Below are 22,275 nucleotides of genomic sequence, written 5' to 3' on the forward strand. Positions count from 1 at the left end.
AATAGCCAAGACAAAGGAAAAAAGGCCTTGAAGACATTTCACAGCTCCTCTCTGCAGTTCTAATTTTCTGTATTATTGTAAATAAAAGAGGTGTAATTGACTCATGGTTCTGCAAGCTGTGAAGGAAGCATAGTGTCTTCTGTTTCTGGGAGGAATCAGGAAGCCTCCTCATTATATCAGAAAGCCAAGGGAAAATGAGATGCCTCCTAAAGCAGGAGCAGGAGGAAGACAGAGTGAGGAAAGAGGTTCCACAGCCTGTTAAGGAATCAGATCTCATGAGAACTCACTCACTATCAGGAGGTGATGGTCCTTTATCAAGGTGATGGTCCTTTATCATTCGTGAAGGATCTACCTGCACCATTTTATGACTAAATCTTTTTCCACCTAGGCCCCGCCTCTGACATCACAGAATATAATTCCACATGAGTTTTGGTAGGGACATAGAGAAAAACCATATTATTCTGTCCCTGACCCCACGAATCTCATATCCTTCTCACATTGCAAAATACAATCATGCCTTGCCAGCAGTCTCCCAAAGTCTTAACTCACTTCAGCATTAACTCAAAGTTACAAAGTCCAAAGTGTCATCTGGGTCAAGGCTACAGTCTCTTTTGCCTATGAGTCTCTGAAACAAAAAGCAAGTTCACTGCTTCTAAGGTACAATGATGGTACAGGCATTGTGTAAGCTTTCCATATCCAAAAGGAAGACATTTTCCAGAAAGCTTCTTATTTCTCTCTGAGACCTCTTCAGCCTGGCCTTCACTGTCCATGTTTCTGTCAGGATTTTTTGTCACAACCATTGAACCAGTCTCTAGGATGGTCCAAAAGTTTTCTATCTGTCTTTTTTTGAGCCCTCCAAATTCTTCCAACCTCCATCCATTACCTGGTTCCAAAGCTGCTTCCACATTTCCAGGTATCTTTATAACAATGCTCCAGTCTTCATTTGCCATTTTCTGTAGATTTATTTTGAAAAAGAGATTTAATTGTCTCATGGTTCTAAGCACAGTGCTTCTGCTTCTAGGAGGCCTCAGAAATCTTTCAATAATCATGGAAGGCAAAGGAAGAATCAGCTGTCTCACATGGCAAGGGGAAAACAGAGAGTAGGGATGTGACATAGTTTTCAGTGGCCAGATTTCATGAGAAGTCACTCATTATTGTGAGGATGGTACAAGGGCATGGTGCTGAACCATTCATGAGAAATTTGCCTTCATAATTCAATCACCTTATAGCAGGATCCACCTTCCACATTAGGAAATATAACTCAACATGAGATTCGGTGTGGACACATATTCGAATTGCATCATCAATCTTTGAATATAAAGACATCCACAGCAGGCTTTATCCAGCCAACTTCTTTGAGACTCTTTATAGGGTTTGAGGTCTAGAGCATATACACTAAAATATTCATACTTCAAAAAGCAATAAAGTGGTATTATCATTTTTCCAAAAGTTACAGCGGTAGTTTAGGCATTCATAGCATGATTTAGTTCACATTTGCTACTGTTTCTATTCTATCACGATATTAACTGTTTCCTATACAATTCTGTATTCAGCTGGATTTCAGTTGAGCACAAAACCATCCTTCTACTAGCTCTTTGCTAGTGTTATTATTCTGCTGTAGAAAGTATCCTTGAACTGGAAACAGCCCACAATGGAGTATCAAGTCATTCAACACTATCAATTCCTGGGTGACTTTTTGAAAAAGTAGTATCTCTTGTTGCAAGAAATGCTGCATCTGTGAGTCCATGTCTCTCACTGGAATTGGATGGAAGTGGTGAATTTCAGCCAAAGTGGCCAAAGAAATGCTGTTCCTGTGATTCTGACATCATCAGCCTCTGCACCTCTATCTTCCCTTCTGCCACTTGTTGTCTGCTCTCCGTGACTTTTGTAAGAGCTTCCTTGTGTATGTGGACGATGTCCAGGATGTTGGTCTGGTGTCCCTGAGAAAGCACTAACAGGTCCATGGCTGGGTCCAGGTCCTGCCTGGACTGATTGGCAAAGACCTCACTGACAGTGTGGAAGGCATCTATACTGAAGTGAATGGCCTGGTCCAGCTCCAAGGCCTGGCTGAGGCTGAAGAACTGGCAGCCTTCTGATGCTCTTTCTTAAAGCCTGTCACCACTCATTGGCTGTGAAGTTGAGGTGAGTGCCCTGTTGTCCATCTTCTTGGTGAAGCACTTGAAGCCATCAATCTTGCTCTCCCACTCTAAAGGTTGAGTGTCGCCCTGGGGGTGGGCTCAGGGCCAGGAAGAATCTGGCACTCACCAACTCATCCTTCTCAGCCTTCCTCTTGCCCTGTCTCCAGGCTGTCTCTTTGGTGCTGGTGGGGCGCATCAGGAAGTGACAAAAAATGTGGCACTGTGCCTGCATCCAGAAGCTGGCCGTGTGGTTCATCCACCAGATTGGGCCCTTTCTGCACTTGAACATAGACACCACTTCACCATAGATGCCTTCCACACTGTCAGTGAGCTCTTTGCCAATCAGCCCAGGCAGGACCTGGACCCAGTCATGGACCTGTTAATGCTGTCTCAGGGACACCAGGCCAACATCCTGGACATCATCCACATACCCAAGTAAGCTCTTACCAGAGTCCTTCTCAAGATGGCCTGTGGTCTGCCTCTTGGCATCCAAGAAGCCCACGGTGCTGTAGAAGCCCTGATGCATGGAATGGAGCCCGAAAGGCAGCGCACACCCCGCTCCTGAGCCTGCTGCTCATTTCCTCTATGTGGCTCCATTTGCAGCACATTTGTTGCATTGAGGTCTGTGCACGCCAGGCAAGGCCAAGCTGACTCAAAGAGCAACCAGCCACCTCTGCAAGGGTGTGCCAGGAGCCGGTGGACCAGCCACCAACCTCACTCCCTGCCAGTCAGGGTAAATCAGTTATTCTGCCCTGGAGGTAGAGCCCCAGTGCCATCTGCTTTTCCTCAGGCCTCCACTCCATCAGCTGTCAGGTGGTGGTCACTCAGGCTGTGGGAACCTGGCCATCCCTGTTTCCTTTGAGTGGGGGAGGTTGGTGGCTGGTCCACCTGCTCCTGGCACACCCTTGCAGAGGTAGCTTGTTGCTCTTTGAGCCAGCTTGGCCTCTCCTGGCATACACAGGTCCCGGGTACTGACAAGCTGCTCCGAGTGAGTTTGTCTTCTCTTGGGCCAAATTCTAAGTCTGGCCAGGGCCACAGAAGGCCAAGTCCCCTGGGTGGTAATCCTGGCTGCTGCAGGGGGGCCTATGGGGCCCCTCCCCTCCCAGGGCTCAGGATGAGGTCCAACTGGGACAGGATGCTTTAGGTATGGGACTTGTGCCCCAGGAGGGGGCCTCTGTCACACAGGTTGGGTGAGAAGATGTATGGCATGCTGCTGGCTGCCAGGGCTGTTGGGATGCACGTTCACCCTTCCCTTCAGGGACCTCAAAGTGACCAGCTTCCCCTTTAAGAATGACTTCCCAAGGCCCAGGAGCCATCTGGGGCTGCAGAGCAGCTGGCCGCATGCTGCCCTGGCTTCTTCCATGTTGTGCTGGTCACTACCCACCAAGGGGGTTCAGACGCAGGCACGATGCAGGACGGTTGTCTCTGAACCTGCGTCTTGGTTATCATGGAGCTGGACTGGGCCTGGTGACAGGGCCCTGATGGGGTTGTCCTGGGTGGTCACGGGGGTGATGAGAAAAATGCAGAATGGAATTGCTGCGAGGATGGATGAGACGACCGTCAGCACAGAACAGACACCCGGTGAGTGTTCAGGGATTCCCCTCAGTAGCTGCCCAGAGGCCAAAACCACCCACCTCATAGTGACTGTCCCCAAGCCAGGAGGAAGAGAAGAGAGCAGGTCCCACTCACCTGAGTCAGTGAGCTGTGTTGAGATGTGCCTCTCATCTAGAAAACGGTCCTTCACACAGAGCCACTCACAGACACTGCTGTGTGTCTCTAACTGCTCCACAACACAGAGGCGATGGGAACTCAGCAACAGTGACATTGTTGGGTGACACAACCCACCACAATGGAAGCCTGCTTGGGTCAACAGGGCCCAGAGTCAGTGTCCTCTATCCCCTGAACTGACATGTGTGCATGCAATGTGTTTGTGTATGCATGTGTGCCTGTGTGTGCGCACATATGTGTGTGTTTGTCTTACTTCTCTGGACAGGCCTAGCTTCTCCACTCATGGGTGCACCCAGGTCCTCATCACTGTCACCTTAGAGCATTAGAGCCTCTATAGGTGCTCCCCAATCTCTGTCCTCCCCACCCATGGTGGTCCTGGGGATGCAGACAGAGGAGGGGCACTGCATAATGCTGAGAGGGCTGGCACCCTCTCTAGGTGGAACACAGGTAATTTGTAAAGTTGTAGGTCTGCCAAACAGTATTGTATTCAACACATCTTCTCACCTTCTCTTTCCAGCCACCCTCCAGGGTGCCCTGACTCACCTTCCCTGCAGATGGAGGTGAGGTTCCACAGACAAACCCCCTGAGGTCACACAGTGGCCAGCGGGCCAGGTACTGACCAACCGCCGCTGACCAGGTTCCCAGTGATGGGGCCCCTAATGACCACTCCTCCATTGACCAGGTCCCACTGATCAAGTCCCCACTGACCATGTCTTCCTAACCAGGCCCGCACTTAATAGGCCTCATGGGCCAGACTCCACTGACCAATTTTCCACTGACCTGGTCCCCAGTGACAAGACCAGGTTCCCACTGACAAGACCACTATTTACCAGGTTGCTGCTCACCCGACCCCCCACTGAACAATTCTCCATGGATGAGTCCCCAGCTGACCAAGCCACCTCTGACCAGGCCCTCACTGACCAGGCTCCAAGCCACCAAGGTCCCACACTGACCAGGCCCCTGGTATACTGTATATGCCCCACAAACCAGTTTTTCATTGTTTATGTTCCAACCAATCAGGCCCCACTAGTAAGGCCACCACTGATGAGGTACCCCCCACTGACCAGGCTTCCAATGACTAGGTCACCAGGTCCCCACTGATGAGGCCTTTACTGAGGAGCCCACCACTAACCAGGCGCCTGCTGATGAGGTCCCAAATGACTAGGTCCTGATGACCAGGTCACCTCTGACCATGGTCCACTGACCAGGCCCCTGAGCAGCCGTGCTCAAAGTCTTATTACAATGTCCCCCTCAGCTCACAGACCCTCCCTCCCTGCATATGTGCCCAGAGGTCAGGCCCTGGGGTTTTTTTTGGGAAATGGCCTTTCCTCCAAGACACAGGGAGAGACAGTCGGCCTCAGGCTCCAGGTTTCCAGCTCCACACTCACCCCAAAGGCCCTCTGGGCCCATCTCAAAGGAGACAGTGAGGTGGCCTGGCACTGCCTGGACACGCCATCTACCCTATTCCTGAGTGTCAGAGTGTTAGGAAGGGAGGGACATTTGGCAGATGAGACACACTGTGCTGTTGGGTCTCTCAGGGCCCTTCCCACAGAGCCCCGATCTAAAGACACAGCACAGAGGCTACAGGAAGACTAATCCAGAACCTCTGAGGCTGAGCCAGGGACCACATGAGGACTGTCCCCAGAGAGCCAGAAGGCCCTTTGCTAGTTTCTTGGTACCTCAGTGGATGCGGCAGCTGTTCTTCTGTTGGGGACCAGTGAGTACACGCTGGGGAGGGCTCGCCTGTGCTTCCTCAGTGGCTCCACCTCTGCTTCTAAAAAAAATGACTCATTCCAGCGCTGGGGCAGAGAAAATACACGATGAGCTGAGAACACCTTGTGCCAGAAAGTAAAAAAGTGCTGACAGAGTAATGGAGACAAATCAAAAACACATCAAGTCGGCTTGGAATGTCTACCACTGGCCTAATCTTGGGGAATTGGAGCATCAGAATCATGAGCTTTCCTTCTCCCTTATTTATTGGTTTTATTTCTCCATGTAGAACAAAGAAGAGAATAAGAAAATAATCATCTGGCAACCATCATAGTAATAATTGTTCAAACACAAGTCATCCATGAAATGCTAAATCTAGTGGGTTCTGAGGAATAACCAGATATTTACAGAGCCTCAAAGTATCTCCATACAAAATATAGTTGAACTACAAAAACAAAATCGTAGCGTTAGCATGGACAAACCTGGCAGGTACTCCTTAAGTCTCCTAAGTAATAAAAACTGTAAACTGCAAATAAGCCTTCGATGACCTTTACTAACCTTTATTAAAGTATCAATGATGACTTGGTTGTTTAAACAGCTGATATTTGGGCAATTTGAGTATGTCAAACTCAATAATACTTGTTTTCATTTGCAAGAGCCACTTAAAACTTAAGGAGGCTAAAAAACATCATTTAAAATACCCTATAAATTATCATCGTACATATGATACAAAAATATCCTACTTCAGTAAATATTGTAATGTTATATATTTTATGAGAAACAATTAAAATGTGTAAATAGCCCAGTAATAAAGTTTTATAATCTTTTAAATCATACAATTTTTCCTTAAAACTTTATGGTTAAATATTCTCTTCATTAGATGTGGCTTACCAGTGGATTCTAGAGAAGAAAATAGATGGGAGCAAGTGTCCAACACAGCAACAGCTAGAAAGAAAAATAAAGAATTATGTCCTTTAAATAAAACACTTCAGTTAACTAAGTGTGAGTTTAAAAACTAAAGAGTTGTGAACTTTATCAGAGTTAATAAGTATGAGAAATATGTATGTACATTTACGATACAAAATTACTATTTAATAATTTAACATGGCATTAATTCTAATTGTGTTTAAATATCAGAGCTTTTTCATTCTTCATTCATGTAATCAACAGCCATGTGCCAAGGTACTAGAACCAGCACTGGAATTACAAGATGAAGATGGTGTGGTCCACCTCTCAACAGTCATATGCCATAGCCTAAAAAAACAGACAGGCAGGTAATGTCCATATAGAGTCATAGATACCATGACAGATATACAGCAGGGCACTACTGGAACACACAGAAGGGACACCTACCCACTTTTATGTCAATATCATGGGCTTTCTGATGGAGGAGATAACATAGGTTGATACCTGAAGGACAAGGAAAAGCTTGCCAGATAGAGGGAAGAGGCGAAGGCAAAGAGCCTGAGGTGAGGAAGAGCCCTGCAGAGTTCCCCTCCATCCAGTTTGGGCTAGAGCAAAGGGCAGAGTGCAGTAAGTGGTGAGAGACAAGGCTGAGTAACTTGACAAGAATTACATTGACATGGGTGTTTTTATTTCATGGTGAAAAATCTGGAATGTTTCCTGAGAACAAGTGTAAGCCAATGACACAGTAAATGACAGGAGATTTAAAATGTCACCTGTCAAGTGACTGCTTATGAAGGGTTATTGCTCAACTAAGCATTTCTGAATGAGTCTGAGGTCTGTTGGCCTTCAATTTCTACCAAAACCCTGAGAACTTGATGATGCCTGTGTTTTCTGAGAATCGTTTCAGTGTGCTGGCTGACAGTTCCATGAGGATGGCAAAACTTAAGAAAGTGTAGAGCCAGTGAAAAAGAGATGCACAGACTTCTTGGGAATTTTTTAAGCTACAGAACATGATGAATTTATGGTGCATAAGTACAGTCTTCTCTGTGAAAGTTTTTGTTCTCACATCTTTCATTAGATGTGTGTAAGAAAAAAATACTTGACGTAGTATCTACTAACCCAAGAATGAAAAGGAATGCCATTTGCTATTTACACTTTATTTCTAAAATAAACCTAAATTTAATTTAAAAATTTTGGCAACATACTTCTCTTTGTTTCTCTAATTATTTGTTCTACACAGTCCAGCTCCACCTAAAATAAGTAAAAATAATAATAATGTTTAAGTTAAACAAGAAACATTATCATGAAAATAATGTATCATTTACAAAATGTGGCCTTTAGTATTTTTAGTGACTAGACATAACTTGAAGTTTGCTTAAATAGAAAAATAATCACATAAATAAATTAAAATTTCTACTTATTTTAAGTTTAGATAACAGAGGATGTATATGTGTAATGCTGTTTAGAGTAATCGGACAAAAATACAGTTAATATTGATCTATTGCATTACATGATTTTAGAAAGGTAGTGTTTTATTAGTACAAAGGTTAAACAATGGCCAGGCATGGTGGCTCATACTGTAATCCCAGCACTTGGGGAGGCCAAAGCAGGCAGATCACAAGGTCAGAAGATGGTGACCATCCTGGCCAACGTGGGGAAACCCCATCTCTACTAAAAATACAAAAATTAGCTGGGCGTGGTGATGTGAACCTGTAGTCCCAGCTACTTGGGAGGCTAAGGCAGGAGAATTGCTTGAAGCCAGGAGATGGAGGTTGCAGTGAGCCAAGACTGCACCACTGCACTCCAGCCTGGTGACAGAGTGAGACCCTGTCTCAAAAAAAAAATAATAATTAAGTAATTAAAGCCATCTTTTGCAATGAATGCATTGCTTTGAAATTCTTAGAAAACTCTGCCCTTTATAAAAGTTTAATCCATTTTTTACTTTAATAAATTTTAACTTAAAAAGAAATTTCTATTCTCTACTTATAGTAAACTTTTCTTTCTTTTTTTTTTTTAGTTTGTATTCTAAATTAAGGTGGTACCTCCGTAGGATTCTTCCAAAGGCATATTGAGGGATGCCGAGGTTTGCAGTACAATTGAGCCCATCACACAGGTAGTGAGCGTAGGACCCAGTAAGTAGTTTTTCAACCCTGGCCCACTCTGTCCCTCCCTGCTCTTATTTCCTAGTGTCTATTATTCCCATGTTTATGACAATGTGCACCCAATGTGTAGCTTCCACATGAGTGAAAACATGAGATACTTGGTTTCTGTTTCTGCATTGGTTTGCTTAGGAGAGTGGATTCCAGCTGTATCCATGTTGCTGCAAATGATGTGATTTTGTTCTTTTTATGGCTGCTTAGTATTCCATGGTATATATGGAATTTTCCAATCTACCTTGGATTTTCAATCTACCTTGGATGCACCTGGATTGACTCCATGTCTTTGCTATTGTGAATAGTGCTGCAATGAACATACATGTGCATGCATCTTTTTGTTACAATGATTTATTGTCCTTTCAGTATACCCCCAGTATAGTAATGGGGTTGCTGCATCCAACGGTTATTCTTAGTTCTTAATTTCCAAACTGCTGTCCATAGTAGCTGAATTAATTTACATTGCCACAAACAGTGTGTGTTCCCTCTTCTCCACAGCCTCCCCAACATCTTTTTTTTTTTTTTTTCAACAAAAGTCATTCTGACTGGTGTGAAATGGTATCTCACTGATGTTTTGTTTGGCATTTTTCTGATGATTAGCAATGGTAAGCATTTGTTAATGTTTGTTGGCCACTTACATGTGTTATTTTGAGAAGTGTCTGTTCATGTCCTTTGCCCATTTTTAATGGTGTTATTTATTTTTTGCTTGTTGATTTGTTTAGGTCTCTTATAGATTCTGGATAATAGGATAATAGGCATTTGCTATACCCATAGTTTGTGAATATTTTCTTCCATTCTTTAGGCTGTCTGTTTAATCCCGTGATACTTTCTCGTGCTGTGCAGAAGCTCTTTAGCTAAATTAGATGACACTTGTCAATTTTTGTTATTCTTGCAATTGCTTTTGAGGACTTAGCCATAAATTGACAAATATGATGTCTAGAAGAGTATTTCCTAGGTTTTCTTCCAGGATTTTTATAGTCAGAAGATGTACTCTTATGTAAGAAAAGCACAAGCCTTTTTTTTTTTTTTTTTTAAGACGGAGTCTCCATCACCCAGGCTATAGTGCAGTGGTATGATCTTGGCTTACTGCAACCTCTGTCTCCTGGGTTCAAGTGATTCTCCTGCCTCAGCCTCCTGAGTATCTGAGATTACACACGCCTGCCAACATGCCTTGCTAATTTTTGTATTTTTACTAGAGACAGGTTTCATCATGTTGACCAGGCTGGTCTCAAACTCCTGACCTCAGGTGATTCACGTGCCTCGGCCTCCCCAAATTTTGGGATTACAAGTGTGAGCCACTGCGCCTGGCCAAGCACAAAGCTTTTAACATAAAAATGGAAATGAACATTTTAGTGTTTGGTTTAATTCATAAAATGCAATTATTTTGGATTCTACTAAATAATAAACATCCATATGTGGTAAAGTGTTTGGATGCCAATCATTCAGTTGTGATTATGGGTGGGAAGAGTTGAGATGGTGCAAATAAACTTTTTTTTAATTTTTTATTTTCAAGATGGAGTCTTGCCCTGTCACCCAGGCTGGAGTGCAGTGGTGCGATCTCAGCTCCTGCAACCTCTGTCTCCCAGGTTCAAGCAATTCTCTGCCTCAGCCTTCCTAGTAGCTGGGATTACAGGTGCCCGCCACCACACCTGGCTATTTTTTTTTTTGTACTTTTAGTAGAGATGGGGTTTCACCATCTTGGCAAGGCTGGTCTTGAACTTCTGACCTCGTGACATACCTGCCTCGGCCTCCCAAAGTGCTGGGATTACAGGCATGAGCCACCGCACCTGGCTGGTGCAAAGAAACTTAAAAGTGACGTGGGCCGGGTGCGGTGGCTCATGCCTGTAATCCCAGCACTTTGAGAGGCTGAGGCAGGCAGATCACAAGGTCAGGAGTTCAAGAAGAGCCTGGCCAATATGGTGAAACCCTGTCTCTACCAAAAATACAAACATTAGCTGGGTGTAATGGTGGGTGCTTGTAGTCTCAGCTACTTGGGAGGCTGAGGCAGAAGAATCACTTGAACCCGGGAGGTGGAGGTTGCAGTGAATGGAGATGGCACCACGACACTCCAGCCTGGGTGACAGAGTGAGACACTGCCTCAAAAAAAAGAAAAAAAAATGTGGTATGAACCACAGCTAAACTACAATCAATTAGAGAGTAAGCCAAAGTATCTCAAAGTATATCATCAGTTATAAGGCAATAACATGCAATTTCTAAAACCTAACATAAATGCAGCTTTTAAAGACATTTTAAACGTGTCAGTTTAGTCACATTTATTGAATAAAGTTAGCAAATGGATATCTCTCAAAAATGAGAGCTCCAGGGAATTAAAAAATGTAACGTTCCCATTTCCTTTCTGTGTTAACACAGCTAATTATGATCTTTACTTAACATGCATAAGTCAACAGAACAACTCAGTATTTCACCAAATTAAAAACAAGAATTACGCTAGAGAAATGAAACCCTAAAAAGAAACGGTCATATAACGAACCTCAGTCAAGTAGTTCTTGCAGTTATTTGAGGTCTGGGGGTTTGAAGTAGGAATTCTTACGGGCATTTGGGGAATATATTTTCTGTTGAGTCCTATACTAGTAAGATTTTCAACACAAGGTGACTCTGGGCCTCGCCTTGTAGGAAGAGTGCTGAGAAAATATTTCACCCGCTCTTTCTCCATAAGGAGCTTGGTGCTGATCATTGCTATTTTCTTATTAGATCTATAAAGATAGCAAAGACAAATGCTTAGTATTTCATTTTTCCTTAAATGATTCTTAATGACTTGTAGTTTTTAAAAACTTGCCCTGAGAGTAAACCAAATTACCCACTAAACAGTGTTTTCACACTGAAGATGTGTGAGAGCATACCTGTTGCAAGGAATTATACTTTTAAAATCATTCTAAAGAAGCACCTGTGTTTCTAAGGTGATTTATACTGAACAAGCAGCTCAAACAGGGAAGAGAAATGGCTACCAGTGATGTATGGCTCAACAGGTAAAACTTGCTGCCTTCTAAAATGGCTCTACTTGAAAGATTCTGAAGATTCCACTTGAAATACTTGTATTTAAAGGGTAACAACATGGGAAAAGGAATATGTTGATTTGCTTGATTATAAGAACCACTTCACTAGAAATAATTATATCAAAACATCATGTTGTACTCTTTAAGGTAGGTTAAGAAAACTAAAATGAACAAAAAAAATCTAGGAATACTTGTGTTTAGTAAACCAGTTTTAGGTTTCACCCTTGTACATTTCACCAATTATCTAGGACCAATTAAACATTTGGTAATGAGGAATAATTCAGAGCAACAACTCCTAGGGGAGAACTAGATTGTTTGGTTGTTGATCAAAAAGAACTAAAGCATCTCTGAAGGCAATTAGCCCCCAGCACTGTGACCAAGGCACTGGAGGTGGGGCTTGTTCTTTTTGCCTTCCACACACCCCTTCAGACTGAACAAGGTGTTATTTTTTAACCACTTTGTGAATTACACTTCTTTAAATTCCTGTGATAATTATTCCCTATTTCATAAGGATGCCTTTCTATAACATCTTGAATATGTTACACAAATATTCTTTCTTGAGGCACCCTCTAGTGATAATACTAAAGATCACAATCAAAAACGATTGTGCCCAGAGTATCAGTACCACTTGACACTTTGGGTTTAGGTCGTGATCTACCGAAAAGTAAACTCATTAATATTACTATTTATGGAAATTCTGACAAGTAATTTAAAACAAGATCACTTTATTAATTATAAAGCTTCAAAAATACTTAGTAAAAAAACTAACAGATTAACTACAACAGACTTTTCAGGGGAAAAAAGCCATACAAAAACAAAACAAAAAAAAAATGAGAGGAGAGACAGAAACTATCCTTGACTAACATTTTAAAGGTAAGATTACTTACTAACATTATTTTCCAAAATTACATTGTCAAATTAGCATTCACTTCCTACTAATATCCTGAAGCCATCTCACTAAAAATTATGCTTTCAAAACAAATTAATGAGCTGAATTCATTTTCTATGAGTGTATGTTTGGACTTACTTCGTTAATTTTTTTGACATGGAATTGTTAGCTTTCAGTGCTGCTGCAAAGGCTTCCTTATATTCTTCTAATTTGGTTGTAACCTCTTCATAAGTAGTTTTCATTTTGGAGAATTTACATTCCACATCTTTAAGTGTGAGTTCCTTCTTATTTAGTGAAGCCGTATTATCCTTAACTGCTCTAATTGTTTTTCATATTGTGCTTGTTTCTAAAACAAATGAAAAGAATATATTTTTAAAATAATTATAACCTAATTATTATGTTTGTTGCCTTTCATTTTGAGCCAGTGATTCAAAGAGCAATTTTGAATATGTTAAAAAAAGAGGCTGAAGCTTAAAATATTTATCAGCAGTATCAAAACTAATAACTGAATTCAGAATAAAGTCTGATTTATAAAAATTTGAAATCATAATTATGTTAGTATTAACGTAATCTGGTCATATAAAAAGCAACAGAATCCATTCATAATTTTAAAAAGTGATCAACGAACAATGTAGCTTAAGACCAATTCAAAAGTATCACATAATTTCTAAATCACAACTTTTTCTTATGCCAACTGGTCTTAATCATCAAATGACTCCATAGTAAGAATCATTACTCTGAAAGATTGATTTTGTTATAATAATGGAAATTTAAATATTTAAAAGAAAAAACAGATGCCATTTTTTTTCTAAAACTCTACAAAGCAAATTGCTACAAGAGAGGCAGAGGAAACACAATATACACATATCCAAAATATAATTTGCGGTGAAATAAAGGAAAGCACATTACAGATAAACTTACCTGATTTAAAAAACTAACCTGTAAATGGATTTCTTCTAATTTTTCTACTGCCGGCATTGCCCTTTCATCTAGCTCCGATTTATATTCTTGTAGTTTACTAAGTTCTACCATATTGTTTTCCATATGTGTCTTAAGATTTAATATTTCTTCTTCCAACATCTTTTTATCCTCCTCAAGTTTTTCACATTCCTGTTGTACTTTTTTCATCGATAATAACTCCTGTTGAAGAACTTGATTGTCTTTAGCCAAATTGACACATTTTGAAGATACAGCTTCCTTCTCTACTGTAAGATCATCAAACTGCATGAATAAAATAGTATAGCTTGATAATGAAGTAGGCTGAGAATAATCTAATACAAAATCAATAGCAAATTTTGAAATGCATTTACTTGGAATAAACTGTTATTTGTAGTGCAGTAAATTATTCAAATGTGAACCCTTAAATTACTCAGAATTTTAAGAACAAAGTTAAAGCTACCATGAGTCACAAAAATACATTATTTAACTATCATCATCTTTGCCACAGAACTTTTGCACTTCATCTTACTTTTATTTTTCTGATAATTTTTTGTTCCTCCTTAAATGGCACTAAGCTATCTCTTAGTAAAAAGTGTCTATCCCCCTTCCCTCATTATCATTCCCCATAATATGTCAAAAAAAGTTTCAGAAATATCACATTGAGTTATTTAGGCCGAAGTCAATAAATGGCTCTAGGAATAAGACTTTGAAAATAATATAACACTCTATACTAGGCATGGTGGCTCGTGCCTGTAATCCTAGCACTTTAAAAAGCTGTGGCAGAAAGATTACTTGAGGCCAGGAATTTGAGATCAGCCAGAGCAACATAGTGAGGCCCCATCTCTACAAAAAAAAATTTTTTTTAATTAGCCGGGCATGGTGGCTCATGTCTGTAGACCCAGCTATTTGAGAGACCGAGGCAAAAGGATGGCTTGTACCCAGAGTTCAGGGCTGCAGTGAATTATGACCACATCACTGCCCTTCTGCCTGGATGACAGACAAAGACCATATCTCAAAAAAACACAAAATAATGAATCCTATAAATAAGTATTCTGATGCCATAAGCCTTTCCTTAAACTGCAAATGTTTCATGCTAATTTGAGTTGCATTTTAAGAAGTAATGATTCTTGGGGTAAAGGCCATAGAATACAGCACCTAGAAATAAATCCACATATTTCCAGCCAAGTGATTTTGGATGAACGTGCCAAGAACATACACTGGGGAAAGGACAGCCTCTTCAAATGAATGGCGCTGGGAAAACTAAATATCCATATGGAGAAGAATGATACTAGCTTCCTATGTAACACCATATAACAACATAAACTCAGAATCAATTGAAGACTGAAATGCAAGGCCCAAAATTATCAAACTACTATAAGTAAACATAGGGAAAGTTCTTGAGGACAGTCTGCACAAAGATTTTTATGGGTAAGATATCAGAAGCATAGGCAAAAAACAAATGATAGACAAATGGTACTACATTAAGCTAAAATGCTTCTGTCCAGCTAACAACTGAGTGAAGACAAAACTTGTAGAATGGGAGAAAATATCATCAAGCTATTAATCTAATAAGGGACTAATATCCAAAATGTACAAGAAATTCAAACAACTTGACAGTAAAAAAAAAATCTGAGTTCAAAATTGGGCAAAATATCTAACTATACTTTTTTTTTAGAAAAAAGAAATACAAATAGCCAATAAATAAATTTAACAATGCTCAGTATCACTAATCCTCAGAGAAATACAAATCAAATCTACAATATGATATAATCTTGCTTCAATTTGAATAAATTATTATCATTGAAAAGATAAAAAAAAAATGCTGGTGAGGTTCCAGAGAAGAGTAAACTCTTACGTGCTGTTGGTGGCAAGGTAAATTAGTGCAGCCACTATAGAAAACAACATGAGGTTTCCTCAAAAAATTAATAATGGAACTGCCGAGGGATCCAGCAAGCCCACTACTGGGTATTCAGGCAATAGAAAAGAAAACAATAGATCAAAAGGATACCTGTCCTCATATGTTTATTGTAGCACTATTCACAACGGCTAATGTATGGAATCAACCTACATATCCATCTCCAAATGAAAAGAAAAAAAACTGTGGCACACATACACAATGGAATACTATTCACCGTATAAAGGAATTAAATCCTGTTATCGTGGCCACGTGGATCAGTCTGGAGGATGTTATGTTAAGTGCAGACACAGAAAGATAAATACTGCACATTCTCACTCCTGTGTGGGAGCTAAACAAAAATTGAGGGCTGGGCAACATGGCTGACGCCTGTAATTTCCTAGCACTTAGAAAGACAAAGGCAGGAGAGTCACTTGAGGCCAAAAGTTCCAGAGCACCTGGGCAGCATAGGGAGATATTTCTATAAAGTCAAAAATCAGACGGGTGCAATGGTGCATGCTCAATAATCCTAGCTTCTCAGGAGGCTGAGGTGTGAGGATCACATGAGCCCAAGAGTTGGGGGCTGCAGTGAACTATGATCAAACCACTGTCTCCCATCTGGGTGACTATAGTTGCCCAGAGCCCAGACTACACTAGCAAGACCCTGTCTCTTAACAACAACAAAAATCTCAAAGAAGTAGGGGAAGGTAGGTTGGTTAATGGATATAGAATTACAGTTAGATAAGAAGAATGAGTTCTGGTGTTCTGCGGCATTGTAGGGTGAATATGGTTAACTATGATTTCTTGTATATTTTTAAAAAGCCAGAAGATTGTGAATGTTCACAATTCAAAGAAGTGAAAAATGGTTGAAGTAGTAAATGTGCTAGTTAGCTTGATCATTACACCCTATTTACATGTATCAGAATATCACTCTATAACACAATTATGTATATATGTGTCAATTAAAACAAAAGAGAAGTTACATCGATCCCATTTAAAAAAACAGAATATGGGCCAACCTTACTGACTTCCTCCTAATGAATAGAATGCAGTAAAAGGGATACCATGTGGCTTACCTATCTCAGACTGTTTTCCCTTGGAACCCAGCCCCCAGATTGTGAGAGCACTCAGGCCACAAAGAGAACCTGGCAGTGCCAGTGTCAGTGTTCATACTGCCTGTCCCAACCAAGGTTCTAGCCAATGGCCAGCATCAACCATCAAACACGTGGGTGAGTAACGCTTCAGAGGATTCCATTTCCCCAACTGATAGCTGTTCCTAGGGAAGCTGAGGGGAGTAGAGACGAGCTGTCCTGGCCAAGCTTTTTCCAAACCACAGGTTCATTAACAAAATAAATATTTTTCTTTTAAGCCACAAAACTGTGGGTAATTGTTAGAAAAGTAACTTTTAAAAAGAGACAACAGGAAACATAACTTATGCAGCAGAAAAGAGTCTCCTTTAAAGTAGGATCTAATAAATGTTGAGGTTAATTTATTGATGGCAAACATTATTGAGAAGCAGCAGATAACCAGGACAGAGACATAAGCTGCTGAGGAGGAACTTTTCCTAAAACTCCTTCAATTATGAACTCTGATAACAAGGCAAGGGTGTCTCCTTACGGTTTCCCCTCAAGTTAGGAAATAAGACTGGGAAGCAAGAAGAAGACATATGGTATGAAAAAAAACTAGAAATACTTGGTTACACAATCAAAATCAGACATTTACCTGATTTGAATTAACTAAAATTCTAAAAGATAAGCTTTCAGTATTTATTAATCAATCTAGTATTTAATTTTTATTTTCCTTTTCTCAATGAGGAAATGAGAACATTATGAAATGATTTTTAGTCTTCACAGAAGTAAAATAAACATAGTGTGCTTTGAGTGTTAAGCAATCAAGTGCAATTTCTCCTTTACCTTACTTCAAGCTTGTTTGTTTGGAGAAGTTAAGACCATCCCATCTCTATGCTCTACCACAAGACTTCTCTATAGCACACAACTTGGCTCTGAAATTTTGAAAGTCAAAATACTAATCTACTATGTGTCTCTGATAAATTGCCTGAATATTACCTGATTTTGAAGTGCTGCACTCCTAAGACCTTTTCTTGGAATGAGTTAAACTTTATATTCCAGGAATCCTCTACTGAGCTAGAAAGCAGAGCTGTGCATCTCTGTTTCAGTAAAAGGCGGTCAATACAGCTAACTGTGGTTTCTGAGAATGCAAGATCTGCACCAAGAAAAGGATTAGCCACAGTGCTACCCAAGAGAACCAGCTACCAGGGGGAAAGAGGATCTGTGAACTGCAAGATGATGACTTCACTTGATTTCCACTGAGGAAAGCTGGCGGCTCAGACTTAAACTTCTCCTTCCTGGATGGTAAACATCTATGGAAGATTCTATGAATTATAATGAGTTAGCAAAACATAATGCACTAAATATTAGACTATGTCAGCAGATCCTGTGACCAAAACTTACTGAAAACAAAACTATAGCGGGAGGCAATGAAAAAGAGACTAAAGATTTGAATGGAGAAAAAATAAATAAAGTATGTCTTATAGGCCTGGCTTCCCATCATGTCTTAGAGTAAGTGAGGTATAAGCTGGCCAGAGACTCCTTTGAGACACAAAAGGTGAAATTAAAGATATTCCACTAAATTTAATTTTTTATTACAACATAAGACAACTGGTAATATGCAACATGATTGAAAAAAACTTCTCAGTAAATTCATTTTGGCCTTGGCATAAGAATAGACATAAACAAAGAATTGATAATCTAAAAATAAACTTGTGCATTTACAGTCAATTGATTTTATATAAAGTTAACAAAAGAACAAAATGGGAAAAGAATAGTCTTTTCAACAAATGGTGCTGGGACAACTGGGTATCCATATGCAAAAAATAAATAAATTAGGACCAAATATCTTTTTTAAAAATTAACTCAAAATAAAACAGTTAACTGTAACAGCTAAAACTATAAAACTCTCAGAAGAAAACCCTGGCATAAATATTTGTGACTGCATTTGGCAGTGTTTTCTTAGCTATGACTCCAAAGGAAAAACGGATTCAATGGACTTGAAAATTGAAAACTGCTGTGCCTGAGAAGACAGTATCAAGAAGTGAAAAGGCAAGACACTAAGTAGAAGAAAGTATATGAAAAGCATATACCTGATAAGCGACTTACATATATAGGATATGTAAAGAACCTTTGCAATTCATGAGTAACAAGATAATTCAATTTTTAAAATGGGCAAAGATTTTGAATAGATGTATCTGCAAAGAAGATGAAAAGATGGATAATGAGCACATTAATAGATGCTTGATGTAATTAGTCATTAGGAAAATGTAAATCAAAACCACATGTGGTATCACTTCACACCACAGGATAAAATCTTTGTTCAATAAAAAAGAGAAAATGTGTTAGGAAAAATGTAAAGAAATTAAAACCCTTATCCAATGCTGCTGGAGATGTAAAGTGATGCAGCCGCTTTGGAAAACAAACTGGCAGCTCCTCAAAAGGTTAAGCATGAAGTTACCATACAACCCAGAAATTCCAGTCATAAGTATATACTCCAGAAAAATAAAAATCATGGAAGCACAAAAACTCATACATAAATGTTTACAGCAGCATTATTAATATGAGTCAGAAAGTGGAAAGAACCAGAACGTCCATCACCTTTGGGTGGGAAAGAACCCAAAGGTCCATTACCTGGTGAATGGATAAATAAACTGTTTGATGTATCCATACAATGGAATATCACTCAGCAATAAGAAGAAATTAAGTACTGATACTGTATTAGAAGGAGACAGCAAAATGCCTAGGCAGATATGGAAGGGTCCCTGGAGAATCTCCAACCAGCCCCACAAGTGTTTACACCAGAAGTTAAGTGCAGATAAGGGAACCTGGACTTGTCTTGCCTGGACATGCCTGCAGCAGATCAGAGGCCCACATGCACTGGGGGGATGGGGTGGAGCCACCAGGAATTCACGCCTTATGCAGGGGAGGAGCCTGGCCACTTCAGCTCATGTGCTCCTGGTATTCAATTGTGAGGTGGAAACCTGTTTGCAGGACCACTCTCTTTGCTGAGAGCTTTCCTTTCACTTAATAAATTCTGTCCTCCTCACCCTTCAATGTGTCTGCGTGCTTAATTTTTCCTGGTCATGAGAGAAGAACCCAGATGTAGCTGAACTAATGAGAAAAACCCCACATCAATACCTGCTACAGCACAGATGCAGCATGAAAAATTATGCTAAGTGAAATAAGCCAGTCACAGTAGACCACTTGCTTTTTATTTCAGAGGCTTATAGGCAAATCTATATAAAGGAGGTTGGTGGTTCCCTACGGCCGACGGAGGAAGGGAAACTAGTGAAGATGGCTAAGTGATGTGGGGTTTGTTTTCAGGGTGATGAAAATGTTCTAAAATTGATTGTGATGATGACTGCATAACTCTCTGAAAATACTAAAGTCAATGACTCGTATATTTTAAATGAGTGACTTGCATGGTGTGTTCATTATTTCTCAATAAACCTGTTACCCAGCCCCCCCAAATTAATTTGGTACTAGTGGTCTGGAGACAGGTACTGCTTGGTTTCAGATCACTGGCCAGAGTTAAAGACATAAGAGAATCAACAGCATGTCCTTTTTATAGAAAAAAGGTTTATATTTTAAAAACTATCCTTTTCATTAGTATCAATTCTGTAAAATTAAATGAAAAATCTTTCTTTGACTGCTTAAAGCACTGAGAGATTTATATTGAGGAATAAGACCTCATTTTCTTTGGCCCCGATTTCTATCTAAAGGGTCTGAGAATCACACACTTCAAACTATTAAATCTCATCAGATGGGTTTTATTAACTCTTATAATGTGGATTACTTTCTCACCTGATTCTGGTACAGCATCACAGAGAGAAGAAGCTGAAGGAAATCAAAATATTTAACCCCCAAATATATTTTTCTGACATATTTTGAAATGGCTGCTGCAGGGCCAAGAGATTGAAATGGCCCTCATTAATGTAGCCCAATCTCTCCCCTTCTAGGTCTTCCCAGATCTGGGGAAGATGAACTAAGAGGCTGATGCATTTAAAGTCTGAAAAGATATATTTATCCTCTATTTTCTCAACATATTTTGGTAGAATTTGGGTTTTTCCATTATCAATATGTTCCCAAATTACTTGATTTTTAATCCCAAAACTGATTTAAAATTACCGTATGTTGGAATATAAGTTATTCTGTTATAAAGATACGTGCATTTGCATGTTCATTGCAGCACTATTCACAATAGCAAAGACATGGAATCAACCCAGATGTCCATCAGTGATAGGATAAAGAAAATGTGGTATATATACATCATGGAGCCATAAAAATGAATGAGATCATGCTCTTTGCAGGGACATGGATGAACTCGAAGCTGTTATCCTCAGCAAACTAATGCAGGAACAAAAAACCAAACACTACATTTTCTCACTTATAAGTGGGAGCTGAACGATGAGAACACATGGACTCGCGGAGGGGAACAACAAACACTGGGGCCTGTTGGGGTCAAGAGGGAGAGCATCAAGATCAATAGCTAATTCCTGCGGGGCTTAATATCTAGGTGATGGATTGACAGGTGCAGCAAACCATCATGGCACACGTTTACCTATGTAACAAACCTGCACATCTCACACATGTAATCTAGACCTTGATATTTTCTTTAAAAAATTACCTTATGTTTTAGCTTCTTAATCAGAATATTCATTTTCAGTTGATCTGTTTTTAAGTCTCCATGGCAATCGAAGTCTTCATTTCCAAATACACTTAACATATTTATTGTCATTTCCAGGAATTTCTTATATCTGCAGAAATGTACAGAATTAGTAAGTCAAATATTTTTAAGAGTAAATATTTTAAAATTGTTTAAACAGATATTATGTTATAGCATATCAAAGAAACACATCTATAAACTATGATCCTTTCAGTTTCAACTGAGCATAGTTTGGAAGCACCCTATATGAAAGTATAATCTTAGATAAATAATATGAAGAACAATTTTATGGCATATATGGCAGGTAAAGTGGTATCACAACCATACAGTTTTTGTTGTTTTTTTTTTTTTTTTTGAGATGGAATTTCACTCTTGTTGCCCAGGCTGAAATGCAATGGTGTGATCTCGGCTTACTGCAACCTCTGCCTCCTGGATTCAAGTGATTCTCCTGCCTCAGCCTCCCAAGTAGCTGGGATTACAGACATGCAGCACCACGCCTAGCTCATTTTGTATTTTTAGTAAAGATGGGGTTTCACCATGTTGGTCAGACTGGCCTTGAATGGTCAGACTGGTCTTGAACTCCTGACCTCAAATGATCCACCCACCTTGGCCTCCCAAAGTGCTGTGATTACAAGTGTGAGCCACCACACCTGGCCTAACCATACACTTTTTGTAAATAAACTATTCATATCCATGTTGGTATGCTAAGATAAAATAACCTATTACTAAATATAAGCCATAACCCAGAAATGAGTAACCAAGATAAAAAAGTAAAACACATACATTTGAAAAAGACAAAAAATTACATTTTAATACCCATTCACAGTCTATAAGAAGAAAAAAAAGTACACACAAAAAGCATCAAGGACATTATTCAATGTAGAAAAAGAGAAGACCAAGAAAGGGGCAGAGAGATGTGTGACGATTTAAAGACTTTGAAGAAGAGATCTAGAGATCTTTGCTGACATAATGTCAACAAAATGAAAGAGATACAAAACAATGTAGAGAAAGGCAATGACAGAAAAATGTAGATTAGAATCAGAAAACCAACTTAAGTGCTCAGTAAATAAATAGAAAAGTAGCTGTGTTCAGGGCTTCAAAGACACATTCCATTTTAAAAAAAAATCTGTGATCAAAACATGAATGCTCATTTTAAGTTATACATATA

At 39.9% G+C, this 22,275-nt stretch overlaps 3 pseudogenes across 1 annotated transcript in view; 1 reads left to right on the top strand and 2 right to left on the bottom strand.

Annotated features, from left to right (window-relative positions):
* Positions 1,679 to 3,258, bottom strand: SNX18P26 (sorting nexin 18 pseudogene 26; annotated as a pseudogene).
* LINC00328-2P (long intergenic non-protein coding RNA 328-2, pseudogene) lies at positions 4,233 to 4,451 on the top strand (annotated as a pseudogene).
* ANKRD20A9P (ankyrin repeat domain 20 family member A9, pseudogene) overlaps positions 5,546 to 22,275 on the bottom strand; it is a 60,825-nt pseudogene continuing 44,095 nt past the window's right edge. Inside the window, exons 16-22 of the transcript NR_138091.1 lie at positions 21,069 to 21,198; positions 13,443 to 13,781; positions 12,677 to 12,856; positions 11,127 to 11,349; positions 7,688 to 7,733; positions 6,468 to 6,521; positions 5,546 to 5,665 (exon numbers count right to left, since the gene is read on the bottom strand). The product of NR_138091.1 is annotated as an ankyrin repeat domain 20 family member A9, pseudogene (transcript). The remainder of the gene's footprint in view (positions 5,666 to 6,467; positions 6,522 to 7,687; positions 7,734 to 11,126; positions 11,350 to 12,676; positions 12,857 to 13,442; positions 13,782 to 21,068; positions 21,199 to 22,275) is intronic.

This window comes from Homo sapiens, chromosome 13, assembly GCF_000001405.40.
Source record: "Homo sapiens chromosome 13, GRCh38.p14 Primary Assembly".
NCBI classification, from domain to species: domain Eukaryota; kingdom Metazoa; phylum Chordata; class Mammalia; order Primates; family Hominidae; genus Homo; species Homo sapiens.